Source organism: Homo sapiens, chromosome 6 (genome assembly GCF_000001405.40).
Source record: "Homo sapiens chromosome 6, GRCh38.p14 Primary Assembly".
Taxonomy (NCBI): domain Eukaryota; kingdom Metazoa; phylum Chordata; class Mammalia; order Primates; family Hominidae; genus Homo; species Homo sapiens.
Window position 1 is genome coordinate 79,487,941 of NC_000006.12, and position 23,957 is coordinate 79,511,897.

Here is a 23,957-nt window from a genome sequence, read left to right on the forward strand (position 1 = left end):
ATAAAACCACCATATTTAATTTGGGTATTATAAATCAAGTGAGAAAAGACATCATAAATTTCATTTCTATACTTGATATTCTGGGATTAGAGAATAATATATTTAATACGTATTGCATTTAAGATTCTCATTTATAAAAAAATTTGTTCTTTGAGATACTGGTGGGGAAGAAAGGTTCTTTGCCTATTTTTTATAACTAATATAATGCTGTATGGTGGGGATGGATGGATGGATAGATGGAGCAAAGACTCTACACTTAAAAATAAATGAAACCTTTCAATGTCATATCCTGAGATAGACTTATGTGGTATTCTGACAGAAGATGCATTAACTTGAATCTAATTAAGAGAAAACTTCAGACAAACCCAAAATGAAGAACATTCTATTTTTAAAAATGGGTCTATATTCATCAAAAATGTTAATCTCTCACACACATTCTCTTTTTCCTTCCCTCTCTCTCTCTCTATATATATATGTAACAAAAATCTCTAGATTAAAGAAGACTGAAGAGATATGAAAACTAAATGCAATTCATGATCTTGTACCAGAGGGAAGAAAATTCTATCAAGAACAATATTGTATCAACTGACAAAATCATAATATGAATGACAGATCAGATAAATGTGTTGTGTCAAAGTTAAATTTCCTGAAGTTGAAAACTACATTAGAATACAGTCTAAGAGAATGTCCTAGTTTGGGGAAATATACATACAACTATTTAAAGGTATGGGCATGACACAACTCACTCACAAATAGTTCTTTAGCTATTCTTGCCACTTTAACTTTGAAACTACTTCCAAATGAAAAAATTAAAAATTTTAAAATATGTAAGAACACCACAAGTATAGTAACTTTAGTAAGTGGCATCTGAATTCTACTTCATCAGAATTTTCTGAATGCAACTTGTCCTTATTCCCTAACCCTAAATAGCAAATGACTTAGAGTGTTCAATTTTTTTCTTTCCTTAATAACATTATTCAAATGTGTATGGCTCCTGATAAGCCATCCCCTACCACTGTATCCACCTTTCTTTGTTCTACCTAAGCAATTCACAGTTAAGCTGGAAGATATTAGAAGACGCTCACTCTTTCTTTCTCAAGGGATGCTGACTTGTCACATGCTTAAACAAACTCTTTTTCTTACCATCCTCCAGCTTTTCAACCTCCTGTTTTACGACATGGAGTTCTTCATCTGTAACAAATTTTTCTTCTCTTTCCATAATTGGGTTTAGAATCCCTGCTTCTCCATGCCTGTCTTGCTTTTGAGATTGCAAGTCCTATTATACGTTAAAAAAAATGCAAGTTCACAAATTATAGAAAAGGGGGGGAACTAAGCAACACAGATTTATCCATTAAACATGATTACCAACTAAGTTAAAAATTAATACAAATTTTCAATTAATGAATCAGTAAATCACAAGTTATCACTCCTTGAAAAATTCTTCAAAACCGCACAGGATTATTTCCGTTAAAATTGTAAAGAAGCATTCATAAGATGTACTAGAACCAGTATAACTGAAGTAAAGCCAAAACGGTACATAAAACCCTGAAGAGACAAGTTTTAGAAGTATCCTTGCTTTGTGCATTTTCACCAAAAATCTGATTAATTCAGTTAAGCAGAAATGACTATTCGCCAACTATGTGCATCAAGTGAGATGCTGTTGAACTATAACATGAGCAGTGACAATATTATGTCCAACCCCCAATTAATATATTTTATAATATTCAAATCAAATAAAAATGTTACAAACTTAAAATTCCTTGTTTCCTATGGTAACGTTCAAATATATGGGTGTGTGATTTTTCTTAATAAAAGTGAAATATCTATTATTAGTAAAGACTTGTCTAGTATCCATTTTCATCTTCTCCCTTTTAGTAATGGAATCCTTTGAGTTTTAGCAGGACAGAGAGCTGCTTAGCTGGAGACTACATTTGCTACCCTCCCTTGCAGCTAGAAAGAACTAATGGAAGGTGAGTGGAAGTACATGTGCAACTTCAGATCACATTTATAAAACCAAATGCTGCTTCCCCTCCATTTCCTTGTTGCCCTTTCCCACAGGGGTGGAAAGCCAGTTCCAACCATACACAAGAGGGCTACACTCTTTAAAATGGAATATCAACAAGACAGGGGGTGACTACCATGAAACAAAGCTGTCTACCAACTGTGAACTACCAACTGACTTCAGTCTATTACAAGAGAGAGAAATTTTTATCTCACTTGAGCCACTCTATTAAGTCTTTTTCCAATAGCAACTTAGCTTGTACTCTAAGCTACCATTTGGTGAGGCCCTTTACAGTGGCAGGCTCAGTCTAAAGAGCTTTATAAATGTCATGATTATTTCCAATTTCATCTGACTAAAAAAGAAAAAGAAAAAAAAATTTCATGATTACTCATTGTCACAACCCTGAAAAGTAATCCACCCTCATTTTATACATGAGAAAGCTGAGGCTCCAAGAAGTCACACAACTAAAATGTTAGAATTTAACTAAAATGAGAGCTAACTCCAAGGCTATATACTCTTATACTCTTTTCACTATACCAGGTTTCTATTCCTTCTGTTGAATGTATACTGTAAAAAGACCTATATTTTAGTCCTTTTAAAGTTAACAATTACTTTGTTATTCCTCACTTTGTGATTTCAAAAAGACAAATCAACATGATCTAGTCTCAATGACAGCACAAATACAGAAACACAACTTAGCGGATACAACTAACTTGTCTGAATTATCAAACAAAAATAAATAAACAAATAAAAAACTAGAATATACACAGAAATCAAATCAGTTCATCCTTTCTGTTTTATACCTCAAGAAGAGACCTCAGGGTCACTGGGAAACTTATAAGGTATAAAAATATACCATTGTATGAAATATGCTAGGTTGCCGATACGTTGTTTTCTTTGGGGTTTAAGTTGTAAACACTAAAGATAAAACTCTCTTAGAGAAAGAGACTTTCCAGTGATTCAGAATGAAGGTCCTTTTAAATGAAAGTCCAACAGAGACCCCTTGAATTCCACTCTAATTTGAACAGGATAAGGTCAGATTCCACTGCAATTACCTTGTTCATTATTCAGTCAGTTAACATGTAAAATTCTCCTATATAGAGGACCAAAAAAAAAAAATTAAACCTAGTCAAATTCTAACAAATCATTTGAAAACTACTATTACTTGCTACTAAAGATAAAAGTACTGAGGGTTTTCCAAGACTATGTCGGTACATAAGAGAAACTTAGAAGGCAAATTCTTCTCTTCTGCCCCCAACCCAGGAAGCACAATCCATCATTCTGAAGCACCTGAAATAGGTGATGTAAACTAAAACACTCAAGCCAAAGGAATTTTAAATTTTATTATTATTATACTTTAAGTTTTAGGGTACATGTGCACAACGTGCAGGTTTGTTACATATGTATACATGTGCCATGCTGGTGTGCTGCACCCATTAACTCGTCATTTAGCATTAGGTATATCTCCTAAAAGCCAAAGGAATTTTACAAAATACACGATACCTCTTTCCCTTCAAAAAGGCTAGTCGCATATTCATATAGATATAGTACTAGCTTCATTACTGAAATTTTAAAATGTCTGATATTGTGTTTTTAGGAATAACTTCAGACCGAGTTTGGTACATAACAATACTGCTAAACTCACCAAAGTAAGATGTCCTGGTTCTTCCCATTTGTTTTCGTAACACATAATTGTTTCTGGAGTTAAAGGATATTCTTCTGGCTTGAAGTCTTCCATGGTTTGTACTCCTTTTGTACACAGGTCTGCAAAATCACTCTGGCATGCAGCTACAGTGAAAATTATTTTTAAAAAATTATTACAATGAATAATGCTAAAATATATGGAATTCAGCTGGCATGTATATATATATATGCATGTGTGTTTGCATATACATGTACATTTATATGCACCACTTCATTTAAATGGAGAATATATATATTCACCTATATATATTCACCATATAAATATAATGCATGTTTTGCTCAGCTTGGTTAATACTCACTATTACTATTTTTGTTTCTAGGATTTACTGGCAATTATATGATTTGGGGAGAATTCTGACTATAAATGCTTTAAATTTCACAACATTTATACTTTAAAATCTTGCAATTCACATAAAAGGGAAATTATACTTTTGTTAAAAAAGAAAGTAAAACTACAAATAACAATACAAAATATTTATAGGTGAAATCAACTGACAGCTAAGATTTACTTTATAATACTCTGGAGAAAAGTAAAAAAACAGATGAAATAAAACTGGTAAAAAGTATAACTGTTAAAGCTACATGATATGTAAATGAAAGTGCATCATATTACTCTCTCTACTTCGGGGTATATTTGCATATTTTCAAAAACATTAAAAAATTATAATAAGGAAATTTCAAAAAGTTATGTAAAACAATTTTAACAGCGTCACTTCAGGGGAAAAAAATGGAGAAAACAGAAAAGGATTTCTGAAAATTATTAGGAAATTTAAATTGCAACAAATACATTTATTTTAAATATATTTCAATGAGGTTCTTTTCCTTCCCTTCCATTTCAGAATTATTGTACTATCACTAAATAATAGCAATAATATCAGTTTTTGAACAATCATATTTACCATACCATTTTTTCTTAATGCAAGTTCTTTCTCTTTATTTGGAGAGGACTTTGGCAGACGATTAGAATATATATTTTTTATATCCAGTTCTCTCTCCTTTTCCTGAAAACAAACGCAATACAATTAAGGAAGTAGAGCCTCTGCTTAAAACAAAACAAAACCCCTCACTTTGTCATCTGGTATTTTCTTACCATATTGAAAGTTACCTGGTTCAGCTTCCTTTTGTAACTACCAAACTATAGAAAGAAATGTCTCTAGCATACTGAGGTTAGGATAGAGCAATAATTTTCCCTAAAAAGTCTAATATGTCCTGGAAATTAAAAAAATTAAGGCAAATTTCATTTTCTACTCATTCTTACCTGATAGAGCTAGTACTGTCTTAACTGAGACACAGAGACAAATAATTTAGTTAGTATCTCTCAAATGTAAGTTCTGAAATATTGATGAGTTAAAAATTAGACCACTCTTTCATACACAGGCATACTTGACCATTTTGGGTCTGTGGCTTTTTCTGAGAATTTGATTAACAAAAAGAAAACATAAGATAATATATAATTTTGCACTATGTTACACAAAATTTTGTGCAAAATTTCATTCTATCTAGAACTCATTGATGACTTCTATGTAGAATGAAGAATACCTGTTTTAACAAAATTAAATAATTTGAATACTTTCTCTAAACACTGTGAAAATGAAGGGCATCATTTGAAACAACTTCAAAAATAATAAATCATTGGGTGATCTGAGGAAAAACACTGAATTATTCAACCATGCAACACAGTGAAGCTCTAGTTCCCATAATTTTCTTCTATGATTTTACAATTTACTTCAGTTACATCATTTCTATTGGTGTATTCAGTGTTTCACCTTTTTTGTTTTTGTTTTTAATTTCACTTTGTTATAGTAATTATACCAACAAACCTTTTCTAAGTGCTAAAGATAATATCAGAATTTTGTAAATTATATTGTACCAACTTACAAATATGAATAGTAACATTTAGTGTTTTAAAATATTTAATTTTCGTCTAATACACATTATGGAAAACAATGCAATTTAAAATACTTACCTTTAATTTGTGATATAGTCGCTGTACCTCCTTTTGAAGAACTTTATTTTCATCATGAGCCTCATATGCCCTTTTCCTTTCAGCAAGCAACTGTCGTTGGAAACTGTTAGTACTCAGTTCAAGGTTTTTCGATAGCTCCTATATGTATAAATACATAAAAAGCAGTCCTTTAAAAAAATTCCAACAATGAAACATAACACATGGCAGTGTCAAAATGATGTTTTTAGTGGTATTGTCCAAGACCTACAAATCAGACTGGGCATAGTATTCATGTACATAAGCTGGGAAACAGATTTACCAACAATTTAGTAAGGTATCAAGCCTGTTATTCCTATCTTTGCTTTTCACAGTAATTTGTAAATAAATTCTTAAGGCTGGGATGGTGGCTCATGCCTATAATCCTGTGCTTTGAGAGGCCTAGGCAGGAGGAGCTCTTGAGACCAGCCTAGACAACAAAGCAAGACCCCATCTCTATAAAATAAGAGTTTAAAAACTAGCTGGGCATGGTGGTGCATGCCTGAGTAGTCCCGGCTACTCAGGAGGGTGAGGCGGGAAGATCACTAGAGCCTGGAAGTTTGCGCCAGTGAAATGAAGCCTTGGTAGACAAAACAAGACTATCTTAAAAAAAAAAAATCTTAAGCACACACACATTGCTTGGGCAAATAAGATACCAAGACAGATAAAATTACACAGCACTACCAAAGCTGCGGAGAGTACCTAGAGTAAAACATCTCTAGATAAAAACAATAGCCATTTCCATCCATGGTCTTCAAACATGGCCCATCAGGTTTATAAAATAATTCATGTTGAAATATTTTCTTTTAAAATAACTTGTCAAGACATCATTTCTAACTTGCGGGCTTTTTTTAAAGCATCTTATAGATAGATAGATAGATAGATAACAAATATAATAAATGTTTATTATAAGTATAAATAAAATAACAAAAAAATAGAAAATAAAAAGCAGTTACAATCTCATTACATTGTGATAATCACTGCCAACATTTTGATGTATATAATTTGAGACTTTGATATATCTTTCTCAGTAAATAAAACCATAAATACCTAAGTCAATATACTGTAATAACACAATCTTTTTCAATGGAATAGTATCGTACTTTACAGATTATCAAAATTTAACTAAATTCTGCTGTTCATTATTAGGGTGCTCCAATTTTTCCTAGAGTAAACATCCTAATACATATAACTTTAATCATGTATTATTTCCTCAGGGTAAATGTTAAGAAATAAAGTGTCTTAGACTTTATCTAAATCAAGAACTCCTGACCTTTGAAAGGTCCCATTAAGCAAATGAAAAGATAAACCACAGACTAGGGAAAATATGTGCAAATCCCCTATCTGCTAAAGCAGGGGTCCCCAACCCCTGGGCTGCAGACTGCTATTGGTCTGTGACCTGGTAGGAACCGGGCTTGCACAGCAGGAGGTGAGTGGCAGCGAGCAAGCGCGAGCATTACCACTTGAGCTCTGCATCCTGTCAGATCAGCAACAGCATTAGATTATCATAGGAGTACAAACCCTATTGTGAACTGTGCCTGCGAGGGTTCTAAGTTGTGCTCTTCTTATGAGAATCTAATGCCTGATCATCTGAGGTGGAACAGTTTCAGCTTGAAACCATCCCCCTCAACCCTGTCCATGGAAAAACTGTCTTCCACGAAATCAGTGCCTGGTGCCAAAAAGGTTGGGGACCGCTGTACTAAAGGACTTGTATGAAGAAATGTATAGAGTTATCCCTCTGTGTCTGTAGGGGATTGGTTCCAGGACTCCTGTGGATACCAAAATCCAGGCATACTCAAGTCCTGCAGTCAGTCCTGTGGAACCTGAGTATATAAAAAGTCGGGCCAGGCGCGGTGGCTCATGTCTGTAATCCCAGCACTCTGGGAGGCCGAGGCAGTGGGATCACAAGGCCAGGAGATTAAGACCATCCTGGCTAACACAGTGAAATCCCGTCTCTACTAAAAATACAAAAAATTAGCCAGGTGTGGTGGCACGCGCCTGTAGTCCCAGCTACTCGGGAGACTGAGGCAGAAGAATCACTTAAACCTGGGAGGCAGAAGTTGCAGTGAGCCGAGATCATGCCACTGCACTCCAGCCTGGGTGACAGAGCAAGACTCCATCTCAAAAAAAAAAAAAAAAAAAGTCGGTCCTCCGCATCCAAAGGTTTCACACACTGCAAATACTTTTATTTCTGCATTTGGTTGTGGAATGTGGAACCTGTGGATATGGTGGGCCTACCGTGTTTATTGAAAAAAAAAATCTTTGCATAAGTAGACCCACTCAGTTCAAACCCATGCTGTTCAGTGGTCAACTATATATTACCTCCAAACATCTGTATCTGTCCCACAAAATTCAGTAACATGAAACCAAAAAGCTCAGCAAAAAAATGGAGGAAATATGTAAACAGATAATTCACCAAAAAGATATCCAGAGACAAATGGGCATATAGAACAATGCTTCAATATCGTAAGTCATAAAGGAAACACAAATTAAAGCCACAATAAAACAATGCTATTTATCTATCAGAATGTCTTAAACTGGAAAAACTAAGCATACAAAATGGCAAGGATGAGTAGCAACCAGAACTCTCATACACTTTTGTTTTGCGGATGTATAATGGTACAACCATTTTGGAAAACAGTTGGGCAGTAAAACATACATCTACTATATAACACATTCATTCCACACTTAGGTCTTTACACAGGAGAAAGAAAAGCCAGTGTCTATACAAAGACTTCTGCATGAATGTTCACAGCAGCTTTATTTGCAATAGCCAAAACTGGAAACAATCCAAATGTCCATCAATGGGATGGATTAATGGATAAACAAAATGTCATATATATGTATACAATAAGGGTAATTACCACTTAGCAATAAAAAAGAATGAACAATTGATACTTGCAACATGTTTGAAACTCAAAATAGTTTTGCTAAAGAAACCAGGAATAAAATAATACATACTATATGACTCCACGTATATAAAATTCTTAAAATGCAAAGTAATTTACAGAAACAAACATTAGATTAGCTGAGGAGTAGTGGGCAGGGATTGATAAAAGGGGGAGGAGTACAAAAAGGCATTAAAACTTTTTATAGATAATAAAAAACAGTAAAAACAAATGTGTAAGTTTTAAAAAATGAAGCTTCTGGGTTGACAGACATTAGTACAATTTCAAGGTTTTGAAAAACATTACCAATATGCCCTTAGAAAAGGCTGTAACAATTTACATTCTCTTTGAAAGTCTAGTAGCCTTTATTTCACTAGATACTTACAATAACAGGAAATTGTTAATTCTTTAATCCATCAGATTGGCCTAAAGAAGGATACAATTATTTTAATTTGTTTTTCTTTGATTACTACTAAAGTTAATTGTCATGTTTATTGCCCATCCATATTCTTCATGAAATGTTTTTGTAATGTAATAAGAATCTAAAAGATAACGACAAAATGAGGAAAAAGCAAACTGAAAAACAAAACAAGCAAAAAAGTTAAGAATTTTCCAGAATTGAAGATATAATGAGAGATGAAGTTGGAAAGAGCATCATGATAAATACCGGATCAGAAAAGAATCATCAACGGATGCTAAATTTTCATGAGGAACAAGATATTTACATATTCTTAAGGCAGCTCCACATAGACTGCTTATTGATTTCACTATAAGAGGAAGAACAGTTAATGTATAAATGTTAGACAAGTTGAGCAACACTTTGGCTAGGAGATCAAAATTAACATTACTAATGAAGGTCAGGCGACATCATGTGGCTCCAGATGTGATACCTTAAGAAGGAAAATAATATCACCTATTCAGTATTCTCACCAAAAATACAAAAACCTCATCTATACACAATGAAACATAAGAGAAATACGAAGTTAAGGATATTCTATTAAATGAAAAGGGGTATGGAGCTGTATGCTTCAAAAAATGTGAATGTCATAAATAAAAGAACAACAGTATGTGGAAATGGTCCAGATAAAAGGAGGCTAGAAAGGTGGACAATTCAGTATAATACTTGACCCTAGACTGGGTCCCACTGGAGAACAGAAAGTACTATAAAAGATACAATGATGGCCAGGTGCGGTGGCTCATGCCTGTAATCCCACTTTGGGAGGCCGACGCGGGCAGATCATGAGGTCAGGAGTTTGAAACCAGCCCGACCAACATGGTAAAACCTCATCTCTACTAAAAATACAAAAATTAGCCAGGCGTTGTGGTGCGCACCTGTAATTCCAGCTACTCAGGAGGCTGAGTCAGGAGAATCGCTTGAACCCGGGAGGTGGAGGTTGCAGTGAGCCACTCCAGAGTGGGCGACAGAGTGAGACTCCATCTCAAAAAAAAAAAAAAAAAGAAAGATATGATTAAGTCAACTGACAAAAACTGTACTACAGACAGTAGATTAGAGGAAATCATTATATAAGTGTAAATCATAGTATAACCATAATTTTACTATGGTTCTATAAAGGGCATAATCCCTATTCTGAAAAAATACACACTGATGCATTTAGGGGTAAAGAGCATGATGTATGCAAGTTACCCTCAAATAGCTAAAAAAAAAAAAAGTATGTGTATATATGCATATGACAGAGAGACCACATGAGAGAGCATGCATGCATATTATAAGACAAATGGGATAAAATGTTAGCAACAGACGAATCTGGGTAAACTGTATAGGAGTGTTCTTTGTACTGTTTTCAGATTTGCAATTCTCTGTAAGCTTGAAATTATTTCCATATAAAATATTAATTTAAAAAATCCTATCCCCCCCTAGATATTTTGGAGCAAAACAGGAAACCATTAAACTCAATGAGAACATGTTAAAAAAAATACCAGGGCTAAAAAATACTTAAGTTCCAAATGATAATAACTGTCAACCTGGAATCCAGCAAGACCCAGTAAAATTATCATTGAAGAGTGAAGATAAAATACATTCAGACAACTACTAAAAAGTGTTGCCACTCAGAAGCCCTCACTTAAACATATATTTCAGTAAGAAAGGAAGTGAACCCTGAAGGAACAATAATGAACAATGGTGACATGCAAGAAATAATGGTAAACTAAAAAATACTATTAAAATATTAAGAAGAATTTTTTTTAAAAATTAAAAACACTGTTAAAAATTAAAAGATTAAGTAGAAAAAGAAACCAAAAAAGCAAAAACAAACTCCCAAATGAGGAATAAATCCAGTTTTCAGTGGTGAAATCTAACAAATTTTAAGAAACAGATTATCTGTAAAAGAGAACAGAAAGGAAAAACTCTATGTCATTTTTGATGAGATTTTTTTATAATCTTGATGTCAATAGTGGAAAAATAAAATTGTACACCATTCCAAAATATGAATATTGTTGCAAAAGTCTCAAACAAATATTAGCAAAAGGAATTTAGCAATGTGTAAAAATTGCATCACAACTAAACAGCACCTATCCCAAGAAGCAAAGAACGAGAGTAGTTTCACATTCAAAACAATCCATGATTTAAAACAAAAACCCTAGCAAGCCAGTAGTAGAAGAAAATTTCCTTACACATAAATACACACACAAATTCACAGAAAAAGATCCAGAAGGATACATACTAAGACACTAAAAGTGGTGACATCTGAGTGGTAAGAATGAGAATGTTTTCATTTTATCTTTTAATTTTTCTCTAATTAAAAATATATATACATGTACTACTTATTTAAAAAAAGCTTCTAAAATATGTTTAAGTAAAAATTAAAATGCTTAGAAAAAATATATCCTACAACTTCAAAAGAGTAGTTACTTCTGAGCAAGGAGAGTAGAAAAAGGATGTTTGGAGAAAAGATACAAGGAAACTTCAGTTTAAGATCTTAATGTCAGCTTATTTTAGCAAAATAAGATCTAAAGCAAAAATAGAAAAATATCAAGTAGGTACATGAATGTTTTAAATATTCTTTTTCTGTATATTCAAAATATTTCATAAAAAATATTAGAAGTACTTTAAGAAATTAAAGAAACAATCAATAAGGAAGAAAATGCAAATAGTAGTTATCTTCGGCTGGCAGGACTATGGATATTTTTGCCCCACTTTTTTTTTTCCTTTTTTTTAAATTTTATTTTATTATTATTATACTTTAAGTTTTAGGGTACATGTGCACAATGTGCAGGTTAGTTACATATGTATACATGTGCCATGCTGGTGTGCTGCACCCATTAACTCGTCATTTAGCATTAGGTGTATCTCCTAATGCTATCCCTCCCCCACTCCCCCCACCCCACAACAGTCCCCAGAGTGTGATGTTCCCCTTCCTGTGTCCATGTGTTCTCATTGTTCAATTCCCACCTATGAGTGAGAATATGCGGTGTTTGGTTTTTTGTTCTTGCGATAGTTTACTGAGAATGATGATTTCCAATTTCATCCATGTCCCTACAAAGGACATGAACTCATCATTTTTTATGGCTGCATAGTATTCCATGGTGTATATGTGCCACATTTTCTTAATCCAGTCTACCATTGTTGGACATTTGGGTTGGTTCCAAGTCTTTGCTATTGTGAATAGTGCCGCAGTAAACATATGTGTGCATGTGTCTTTATAGCAGCATGATTTACAGTCCTTTGGGTAATTTTTTTCCCCACTTTTACTGTAAATTTCAAAACATCTTTAAACAAACACGTTAATAATACAATAAAATTTAAAATACTTAACATTTTTTCCAAAGGACATATCACAGAATTCTGTCTTGTTAATGGAAAGAAATAAAGGATTAACATAATTTAAAATTTTTGCAAGCAAACACAAAGGATAAGTTATTTTACCTTCATTTATTTTTTATTAATTAGTAAAGGATTATAGATTTAAATAACAATATTGCATTTGTTAAAATAAGTCTATCAATGTCAGCTGTTTTAACATCTGTTCAGTGTTGTTATAGCTCAATTCTAAAGATTCAGATCCTTGTGTAAGCAAGGACCCTGCAGGTCTCCAGTCCACCTTACAGTAATACTTTTTTACAGTATTCCTAGAAGGTAGACATTGAATCTGCACAAATACTTCAGGAAGCAGAAAGCTTGATAATGCAAAGCATACTGGTTTCATTATTGGACAATTCCAGTTATTAGGAGGCTCTTTTGAATGAGAGGAAACCAGTTTTCTAGTAATATTCATTAGGTTTGTATTGCCCTCAGGAAATAAATCCATTTCTCCTGCTCCATGTGACAGCCCTTTAAACAATGAAGTAAGTTACATTTTTCCTTATATTTTCTATGATTCTGTGTTTCTTCCACTGTTTCTTTTATGTCAGCTTTTTGACCCCCTGGTTATCCTGTTTGCCTCCATATGTCAGTTTGTTACCTAAAATCTGGTACTTGCTATTAGATGTGATCTGACCAATAAAATTAGAGTTATTATTACCTCTTAGGACAAAGGTATCACCATAGTGGGTTAACTTCTTCCCTTCTGATTTTTTAAGTGGCCATACAATTATAGGTTCATATACTTAAAAAATTACGCTTTAACTTCAATTACTTTTAACCCAGGGCTCCCCATAGTGTACGCATAAAATAGATGGAAAAACTTTGAAGTGAAACAGTTAACCTGACTAAACTTTATCTTGCTTATTTTAGGCCAGATTTTGAGCCTAGGGGGATCAATCTTGATCTTGTCATCCATCAAATTCGTTGGGCCTCCTATTTTTGAACCTGTCAAGAACATATCCATCCATTCATTCTTTTAAGAAACACTAATTTTATGCCAGAGAGTGCCAAATGTTGCAAATAAAAAATTAAATAAGACTTGTTCTTGCTGTTAAGGAGCCTGGTCAAATTCACTGATAAATATGCTGAAAGGAACAGAGCCTAAGATAGCACTCGAAAGCACCCACCTAGAAACCTTCTCTCCAAGTTGACAGCTATTTATTTAACTGCACCCTTTGGGTACAATTACTGATCCAATTGTAAAGCTTTCTAACACTATTTTCAACCAGTCCATACTTCTCCATTAAAATACAAACATGAAAGGCTTACTGAATTTACTATATAGTATCCAATTATATCCACTATATGCTAATAGGTACAATATAGTTATATACTATATTGTATATAGTATATTGTATATTCTATATATTAATATATGGCATATACTATATACATCTATAACTATAACAGAATTCTATAACTGTATATACTATACTGAGTTCTATATAGTTCTCTCTATATAATATATAGAGTTCTCTATAGTTCTCTATGTATAATATATAGAGTTCTATAACTGTATATTCTATAAGTATATAGTATAACAGTATAGTATGTAGTATAGAATACAGATGTATAATATATAGTATATACACATAGGAGAATATAGTAGATATAGCATATTTTCATGCACCATTCTAGCAATCCTAAGCAGGGCAGTGGGGGGAAGAAAGTAAGAATAGTTCTAAGTAAGCAATATTTTCCAAAACATTTAAAAACCTGGTAGAGATTTTCATCAAGCTCACTGATTGATAATTTCTAACACCTACCTCTGTTTACCTCGGAAAACACTGGTATTTGCCTTTTTTCACTTTCTCACTTCTCCTAGTCTTCCTAACTCTCCAAAGTACAATGAGAAAAGCTCTGGAATCACATTTGCAAGGTTCTTCAGTCCTCTGGAGGATAATTCATCTGAATCTGGAGACTGAGCTCATTTAAATGAGCTATCTATGTCTTACTATTTCTTCATCTGCTTTGAGCAGGACAAGACAGAGGCAAACTCATAATCCAATAGTTATGCTTCCTCTGTGCATTACGAGTCTGCCCTAAGTAATGGACCTTGTTCTTGTTCTAATGAAACCTGTTTTCTTTAAAGAAATCTGTTTCCTTTAAAAATCTTAAGCCTTTCCTTACCCTGAGCTTTTGTCTTCCAACATAGATTTTACTCCACAGTATTTACTAGTTAGCAACAAAAATAAAACGGATTTTAGAAGTGATTTCTGCTCAGCAAATGACATATAGAGAATTAGCATGATGACAGACTTTGAAAAAACAATTAGTATCTTTTACAGTTTTTAGATCATTTTATCAGAAGATGCTGATAAAATAACCAAAATTATAATATTTTAATTCCTGCTGTCATTTAAAACTATGAAAAAACACAAAATATACTATTATAAGAGGAACCTATTACTCAGCATTTAAATGTGATAAAATTCCAAGGATTTTACTAAAATGGTAACAAATTAATAGAGCAACAGAAGACAGATTACTGCAATTCTACTCCCACACATGAGCTTCTAGTGACCTATATGATTCTTTTTTGTTTTGTTTTGTTTTGTTTCTTGAGACAGAGTCTCACTCTGTCGCGTAGGCTGGAGTGCAGTGGCATGATCTTGGCTCATTGCAACCTCCACTTCCCAGGTTCAAGCGATTCTCCTGCCTCGGCCTCCCGAGAAACTGGGATTACAAGGTGTGTACCACCACACATGATTAATTTTTGTATTTTTGGTAGAGACAGGGTTTCAACATGTTGGCTAGGCTGGTCTTGAACTCCTGAGCTCAACTGATCCATCTGCCTTGGCCTATCAAAGTTCTGAAATTATAGGCATGAGCTACTGCACCCGGCCATGACCTATCTGATTCTATGTGACCTAGAAGAAGGCAAATAACATCTCTCAGTTTCCTCAACAGTTCAATGTTTGAGTTGGACTAGAGAGTTCCCCATGGAGGTGTTTCAGAGGTTGCTTCAAGTTGTTAGGCATGTGAGTTTCTGAAGTCCCCTTTGTAACATAACTCTTCAGTCACTACCACAGAACAATTCAGTTTTATCTGCTTGCCTGTGAAGAACTGCCAAAATTTGAAAAACCAATAGACCAAATCAGTAGTTTCAAACCTTTTTTAAAAAAACAGTAGAACTCTTGAAGTCCACTGAGCTCAAATTGAAAACCACTGCACTAAATTATTTCCAGGGGCCTTTCAAACTCAAGAATGCTACCATGCTTTAATGTATTTACCTTTAATTCATGTACTTTTAGTATATTTCTCTTTTTCCACTCATATATTAGGTGTCCAGTAAGTACCAAGCGCTGAGCCAGACTCATTATAAACTTTATCCCTAACCCTATTTACGATCACCTGCAAACATATACAGACTGGAAACTAAGGTTCAAATAATTTAAGTGGTGTATCACACATCATAAAGCTGGAATGGTGTATAACCAGAATTTGAAACTGTGTGTGTGTGCGCGCGTGCGCGTGCGTATAAAGTTCCACTCAGAACTTAATAGGTTAAAGGGTAGGTATTAACAGTCTAACTAATAGTCTAATTAAAATATAAGCTAAAATTTTTAAAATTTGACCTTGAATTCTAAGCCAATAATTTGTAACTCAACTAAGTTAGCAAAGTCCATCAATGTTTCTATATTAAAGATGCTTTCATAAAAATGCAAATGCCTAGGGGATGGGAAACAAAAAATGTAAATGCTCTAGAATTTCCTGGAATGATAATAACCACAAGAAAGGCCAATTTAATCCTCCCAAAATGAAGAATTTAACTTTGATCCAAGAACAACTATCATCCAGTACCACTCTTTAGAGTCCTGATATTAACAAATAGCCAAAAATGATTTTAAAATGCTCTACTGACCCAGGGACTTCCTCTTCCAGCCTTTTTCCATTAGTATACTAACATACACATATAAAAACTTACGTTTAATGCTTTGCATCTTTTATACTACCTCAAAACAAAAGCCAACATATATATTAATGTTAAAAGAATAACTTTAGACACATTAGCAGAGTTTATTTGAGCCAATTCACAAACTGGGCAGCAACTAGAACCAGAATAGGTTCAGAGTGACTCCAAGGCTGCCAGATGGTCAGGTAACATTTATGGACAGAAAAAGGGAAATGACATACAGAAAACACAAGTGAGGTAAAGAAACAGGTGGGCTGGTTACAGCTTGGTGTCTGCACTACTTGAACATAGTTTGAATAGTTGGCCACCGGTCACTGGGTGAACTCTGTGACTGGTACAAGAGTATCTAACAGTCTGTTTACATATCCAGTTAGATTATAGGTCACTATGTATGGAGAAACTTTTAGGCCAAACTTAAAATATGAAAGAAGGCAGCTTTAGGCTAAACTTAAATTTAACAGTAATAAGGAAAGGGTTCATCATATTATGATATATCTACACAATGGAATAATACGCAGACTTTAAAAAGCATGAGACTGATTTTTTTCGTGTGTGTGCAAAAATACACATACATATCTATCTAAATATATGTATATAACATGATAATATGTAAAAAGTGCCAAAATATACTTTTCAGTGAAAAAAATGTATTGAACAATGTGTATGGTACACTCCCATCTGTGGTAAGAGAATGAAAAATGGACATTAATATATAGATATGAGATTGCACACATAGCAACAATTTCTTAACAGTGACTGTTTCTTTGGAAGGGGCTTGCAACGCGTAGCCTAGAAGGGAAACTAATGTTTCATTGTCTATCCTTTTGTATTATTTGAATTTTAAGCCCTGTTTTAGTGCTTGTATTACTTTTTCAATGGGAAGGTTATCTTAGATATTAACACAAAATTGCCTTAACAGTTGTTCTACCTAAATGGGTAGTTTCTAAGGACACTGCAAAGCTTATTTTCTGAAACTGTTTTAAGCTTTACACTTCAATCAAAAATATCATAATTTCATTATAAATCTTCTCCCTCCAGAAAAGGTAAAAATATACATAAATAATAAAATCTTTGATTATACAATAAAAATTAGTAGAATCTCAATGAATATTTTATCTTCTAAGCAATTATTCTTTTCAACAACAGGAATTTTTCATTTCTCCAACATTAAATAATAGATATAATAAGGACTTAATTGGGGGGCATAAATATAATTTACCATGTTAAAAACACTTTTTGCATATGAAAGGTTTGAAAGTATGAATTTAGACTCATCAGATTTCAGAACGGAATGTCACCTCAGAAATCATTCCGTTTAATTTCTCAGATGAAACGACTGCAACCTGGAGGTAAGGAGAACTGTACAAACTCAGAGTTAGACAAGAACAGGGCTAACCCAGTTTGACCATTATTCTGTCCTAATTAGCTTCATTTGTTAGATAAATGCAGAAGAGGTAGAAGAGGCAAAGGCAGGCTTCTGGATTTGGGTTTCTGAAGGGTGAAAGGGCAGAAAAACTTTCAGAGCAGCTTCCAAGCCACTAGAGCAAAATATAGCAGGAAAAGATAAAGGAAAGTGATCCTACCTGGCCCAATACTAGACAGTTCACTTCCAGTTCTGAATAAACTAAGAAGAGTAAAGGGAAGATAATGCTGTATCTAGGAAGATAAACTAGGAAGAGTAAAGGGAAGACAATGTAAGTAAAGGGAAGAATTTCAATTCTTACTTTTGAAAGTGGTTTACATGGAAGCAATCAACAAGCAACACTTATAATACACCTACTCGAGGGCAGCTCTAGGGTCAAGAGAATTTGAATACCAATCTCTTATAGTAAAATCTACTGAAAGAAAAAAGTTTATTCAAACTTCCTTTAATAGCTCCATTGATACTGAGCTGTATGATGATACTCAAGCATTCCCCAAAATCTTTAGAAATTTTTAAAAAAGTCTTAATAGTTTCTTTTTGTTTTTCTAACAAAGTAATTCACTCTGTGCCAACTTAATTTAAAAAGAGTTGAATTTTTATATGTACTAAATGTGTACCCTACAGTTTACTAAGGTCCTTTTAATAATAATGTACATAATATCACATTTATGATCTTTTCATAATGCTTAGAAGACAGTTTCCCATTTCATGATTATGGTTTCTTATGATAGTTACCTTTCATGATATTTGCTTTATGACACACTGTTGGTCATAGCTATGACTGATCTGCTATTGCATCCCTGATCAGGAATACAACCCCAACAGTAAGTCTTTCTTATGAGGAGTTAGGACAGAATTGATGCCTTTACTTTCACCCCCTATTTGAAGCCAGTCTCTAGACCACTAAGAAATGGTGCAGTCTTGCAGTCACTAAAAGAAACTGCATATTAGCCGAATTACTAATGAAGTTTCTAACAAAGAACTGCCTATGTTAAGTCAGTGATTCATAAAGAATGATGTGAAAACCCTTAAAGGTCCCTGAGACACTTTGGAGGGTCTTCAAAGTCAAAACTATTTTATAATACTAAGATTATATTTGCTATTTTCACTCATATTGTGTCATGAATATACAATGGGGTTTTCCAAAGGCTCCACTGAAACATATACACGTTTGGAAAGTCTGTATAACTCAATGAACCAGTATTTTCCAAATGACCAATGTGTGATGTAAAACATCCATTGAAAGACGACCAATGAATGTTAGTGTATCCAAATACAAAACGCTCATTAATATGGTTTCATCTTCCTCCATTGCAACTAACCATTAAGAAATCACTTGTTAAGCTTTAGCATAATACCAAAAAACAATATCCAGTTACCTGAAAAGGCTACCAAAATACTCCTCCATTTTCTAACTACTTTAGACATCTGTGTGAGGCTCAATTTTCTTCATACTTATCAATCACAACATAATGCAACAGATTGAAGCAGAAGCAGATATGAGGACCCAGCTGTCCCCTATTAAGCCAGGCATTAAAAAAATTAAAAAATAGAAAATTATGCACTCTTGTCCTAATTTATTTTTGGTTTGGGAAATATAGATTTTTTGTTAAAAGATCTTATAACATATAATGAGCTGCTTATTACTAAGTGAATTAAGACAAATTTTTTAATGTTCTCAATTTTTATTTCAAATGTGCTAAATATACATAAACAAAAGCTGGGGGGAGGTGTCAATAATTTTTAAGAGAGTATAAAGGGGTCTTGAGAGCAAAGGTTTGGAAATCACTACTTTATATAACTAAAAAATGTTTTTCTTCTATAAAAGTTAGCTGTACATGTGTTACGGTTTTATTTAAATATTGCATGGCATATGTATATGTATGGTAGATGCACCTGACAGCAATAACTGAACTTAAGCACACCTTGAGAATGATCCTGTACGGCAGACACACCTGAATGTGTGTTCACAGTTCCAAGCAGTGGCCAACCCAAGAGATTCATTCCTTACCTGTGAGGAACATCTGAGTCCCTGGCCTGTCCCGTGGAATGCTGGCCATACAGGGAGTCCAGACTCTTTGTTTTGGGTTAAAAGAAGTTGCCAGGTGGAGGTTGTTAGGGGGTGGAGGTTAAGTGAAAATGCTATATAAACTGCATGCTTTCTGCAAAAGGTGGCAGTTCTACTGTCCAGCCCACCACCACTGGACCAACCTGTATGCAAGTTACCCTCAGTAAACCTTATGTCTCATTTGCTGGCGCTGGATCTCTTTTTCAGACTCTTGAACCTGGTGCCATTCCTGTGGAAGTTAATAGGTATCCCATGTGACAAAATATTAAATTGAGGCTGATACATTGACAGGACTTTATTCAATAAATTTATTGATATAAAAGCCAAAATAAAGGTATAAAGTCAACTCTAAGTAAGGAAGTAAGTATACACACTGAGGTAACTGCCCTTTGTACGGAGCTCAGGAAGTTTAATCCCATCAAGTATTTCTCCATCCCTGGTCTATGGCCCGGAACTAGAGCAAACCACATCTTACAAGATAGGCTGTAATTTCTGAAGGAGGACAGACAACTGTCATGGTGGTTGTCCCCATAGATACCTTTGGCTGTTTGCCTCCCTAACCAGTTATCCATTTCTAAACTACTCCGTTCGTAAATTACTAAGATTCTGTGCATTCTGTCACTTCCATCAACGAACAAAATAAGCCTGTACCCAACTTACAGGCTGATGTCCTGGCGAAGTTTTTCACAGCTCAGCTAGTTACAGATAACCCTGAAGACACTTCACCCCACCCCCACCACCCCCACTTAAGAAGGAATTGCAACTAGCAAGAAGAATGAGTTGTGGCCTGAAATCCTAGAATGGGACAAGCTATAAACAAATAAACAAAGCTGCTTGCCACAATTTCCAGCTTTATCTTAAAATAAAACAAAAAGTTACAGCAAAAGAAAAAAAAAAACACCACCACATAGACAAGTATCCTTACTAAAGAACATCACAGAACTTAATGATAACGAAGATCTTTACTAAGATTTTACTGTAATTTCAAGGGATACCCAGGATTTTCTTAGGTTTTAGTTAATTTGCAAAATGAAACATCACAATCAAGCTTCTGTTTTTTCCCCTTAATCAGTTAGTGGTTTGACTATAACTGAGTTAGAAGAGAAAGGATCAATAGTGTTGGCTGAAGTAAAATTTGAAAAATAAAATAAGGCACAAAAACAAATGCTAAATTTTGCAGTAAAGTAAGAAACTCAATAGTAAATATTTCAAATTCTGGATTGACTGATGAGATCATGAAAGATGTACATAATGGGTTAAAAACCAGAGGCTGCATTTAGGAAGTATGAAAAAGTAGGTTAAAAAGTAGAGAACAATTACCCTCAGGTGGGCTGCGCTGGCTACACTCCCCCCATCCCCTCAAATAACAAGAGAGCTACTATAGTACAACAGCTGATATGAGGTTATTGGGTTAAGAGAAGTAGGTTTATGGCTGGGCGTGGTGGCTCACGCCTGTAATCCCAGTACTTTGGGAGGCCGAGGTGGGTGGATCACCTGAGATCAGGAGTTCCAGGCCAGCCTGACCAACATAGTGAATCCCGTCTCCACTGAAAATACAAAAATTAGCCGGGCATGGTTGTGTGTGCCTGTAATCCCAGCTACTCAGGAGGCTGAGGCAGGAGAATCGCTTGAACCCAGGAGGTGGAGGTTGCAGTGAGCCGAGATCATGTCACTGCACTCCAGCCTGGGCGACAGAGTGAGACTCCGTCTCAAAAAAAAAAAAAAAAAAAGTAGGTTCATAATAACATATTAAATATTGATTCCAACATAATGTCAATTATAGCAGAAATGAAGCAGTTTAGATGTACCAACCCAACTTTGAGGTATAGAGCAGATAAATCCAGTATTTCTAAAACTTGGGAGTAAATTTATAAAACCAAGTCATTCCTTGGTTTGCATAAAACATTCTTAACCCCTTGTGAAAATAACTTTTACAACAAAAATAAGCTTTGACATTCAAAAATAAAAGTTCAAAAGTAATTTTCTAATTCAGTAAGAATTGAGAGCATTTTAAAATTGCTCCAAAGGAAATAAAATATTTAAGTATAAATCTAAAACATATACAGATTTGTATCCTGAAAATTACAAAATAATGAGGAAAAAAATCGGATTGCCTAAATAAATGGAGACACATACTATGTGCAAGATTGGAAGATTCAGCACAGTAAAGATGTCAATTCTCCACAAACTGATCTATGTTTAATGCAATTCCTACAAAAATTCCAGGAAGATGTTTGTAGATGTAGACAAGCTTATTCTAAAATTTATGTGGAAAGGCAGAAGATCAAGAGTAGCTAAAATAGTTAAAATGTTTAAAATGAGATATAACATGAGAGGAATCAGTCTCTCTAATGTTAAGGTTTATTATGGATGCTGTAGGTAATCAAGAGTGTATAGTAACAACAAAGGAATAGACACACAGATCAACAGAACAGAATAGAGACTATAGAAATAAACCCATAAAAATATGCCCAACTGACAAAAGTGCCAAAGCAATTCAATAAAGGAGGGATATCTTTTTAACAAATGGTGCTGGAGTAACTACACATCCATAGGCCAAACAAACAATAAAGAACCTCAACCTAAACCTCACATTCTATACAAAAATTAACTCAAAATGAATCATGGACTTAAGTGTAAAACCTAAAATCATAACCATTTTATAAAACACCAAGTGGTACACCTTAAAAATAATCAATTTTTATTTGTCAATTATACCTCGATAAAGCTGGGAGATGAAAAAATAGAAGAAAGTCTTTGGGACAAACAGGCAAAGACAATAGGGATAGGTGACGTGTTAGACTTGACACCAAAGCACAATCCATAAGAGATGTATCTGCTAAACTGAACCACATCAAAATTAAAAATTTCTCCTCTGAAAGACACTGTGAAAAGGATGACAAGACCAAGCTACAGAATGGGAGAAAACTTTTGTAAACCACATACCTGACAAAACCCTTGTATCTGGATTATAATAAAGAATTCTCCAAAAATAGATAAAGCAAACAATCCAATTAGGAAATGGGCAGAAAAATGCACAGATCTACAGATGGCACATAAGCACATGAAAAGATGTTCAACATCATTAGCCATTAGGGAAAGGCAAATTAAAACCACAATGAGATGATGCTGCATACCTATCAAGATGGCTAAAACTTTAAAAAGTGTTAACACCAAATGCTGGCAAGGATGCTGAGAAACTGGACCACTTATACACTACTGACGGGACAATAAAAAATGATACCACTACTTTAGAAAAGAGAATGTTCTGATGATTGTTACAAATGGAAAAAACAACAACAAAGAAAAAAATACAAAAAAAAAAGAGAATGGAATGGCAGTTTCTTACAACACCAAACATACATTTATCATAAAACCAGCAAGTGCACTTTCAGGCATATATCCCAGAGAAATTAAAATGTATATTCAAACAAAAATGTGCACATAAGTGGTCATAGCAGTTTTATTAGTCAAGAGCCCAAAACTGGAAACAAACCAAATGTCCTTCAACAGATGTACCATAATACTCCATAGTACATCCATACCATGGAATACTCAGGGAGAAAGGAACTATTGATATATGCAACCATTTGAGTGAATGTATAAGCAAAATCTGCTAATGTCAAAAGGTTAGATACTGTGTGATTCCATTTATATAACATTCTTGAAATGACAAAATTAGAGAAATAATGAGCAAATTAGCTGATGTCATAGGTTAGTGAGGGGAAGGCAGGAGGTAGCTGTGGCTGTAAAATGGTAAAATACAAGGGATTCTTGTGATGGAATTGGTCTATATCTTGATTATGTTGGTAGTCACACGAATCTATACATGTGATGAAACTGCACAGAACTAAATACACACACACGTAAAACTAGTGAAAGCTGAGTGCAGTTGATGAACTCTATGTATCACGACCAATTTCCTGGTTGTAATATTATAGTTACACTATATATTTTTTACAACTGCATGTCAATTTACAATGAACTCAAAATAAAAATTTTAAAAACTTCCAATATGAAAAAAAATGAGGATACAATATGGTTAACTACTTCAAAGACTTAACATTATAGGTGACTGATTTTCATGCTCCCAAGTGAGCAGTCATATAATTTACCTCCACGTATAACTCAGAATCCACAGGCTTCGTCCCACTT

The 23,957-nt window shown here is 34.1% G+C and overlaps 1 protein-coding gene and 1 long non-coding RNA gene across 7 annotated transcripts in view; one reads left to right on the forward strand and one right to left on the reverse strand.

Moving 5' to 3' along the window:
• Positions 1 to 1,756, forward strand: part of LOC100506851 (uncharacterized) — an 84,650-nt gene extending 82,894 nt beyond the window's left edge. For both annotated transcript variants that reach the window (XR_001744213.2, XR_001744214.2), the window contains exon 6: positions 493 to 1,756. This is a non-coding gene — a long non-coding RNA (uncharacterized LOC100506851). The remainder of the gene's footprint in view (positions 1 to 492) is intronic.
• The window catches only part of LCA5 (lebercilin LCA5), a 53,792-nt gene that overhangs the window by 2,950 nt on the left and 26,885 nt on the right, over positions 1 to 23,957 (reverse strand). For all 5 annotated transcript variants that reach the window (XM_047418251.1, NM_001122769.3, XM_011535504.2 and 2 more), the window contains 4 exons: positions 5,673 to 5,810; positions 4,611 to 4,707; positions 3,648 to 3,790; positions 1,144 to 1,276 (listed from right to left, as the gene is read on the reverse strand). In XM_047418251.1, the coding sequence (XP_047274207.1) occupies positions 1,144 to 1,276; positions 3,648 to 3,790; positions 4,611 to 4,707; positions 5,673 to 5,810 (511 nt within the window). The remainder of the gene's footprint in view (positions 1 to 1,143; positions 1,277 to 3,647; positions 3,791 to 4,610; positions 4,708 to 5,672; positions 5,811 to 23,957) is intronic.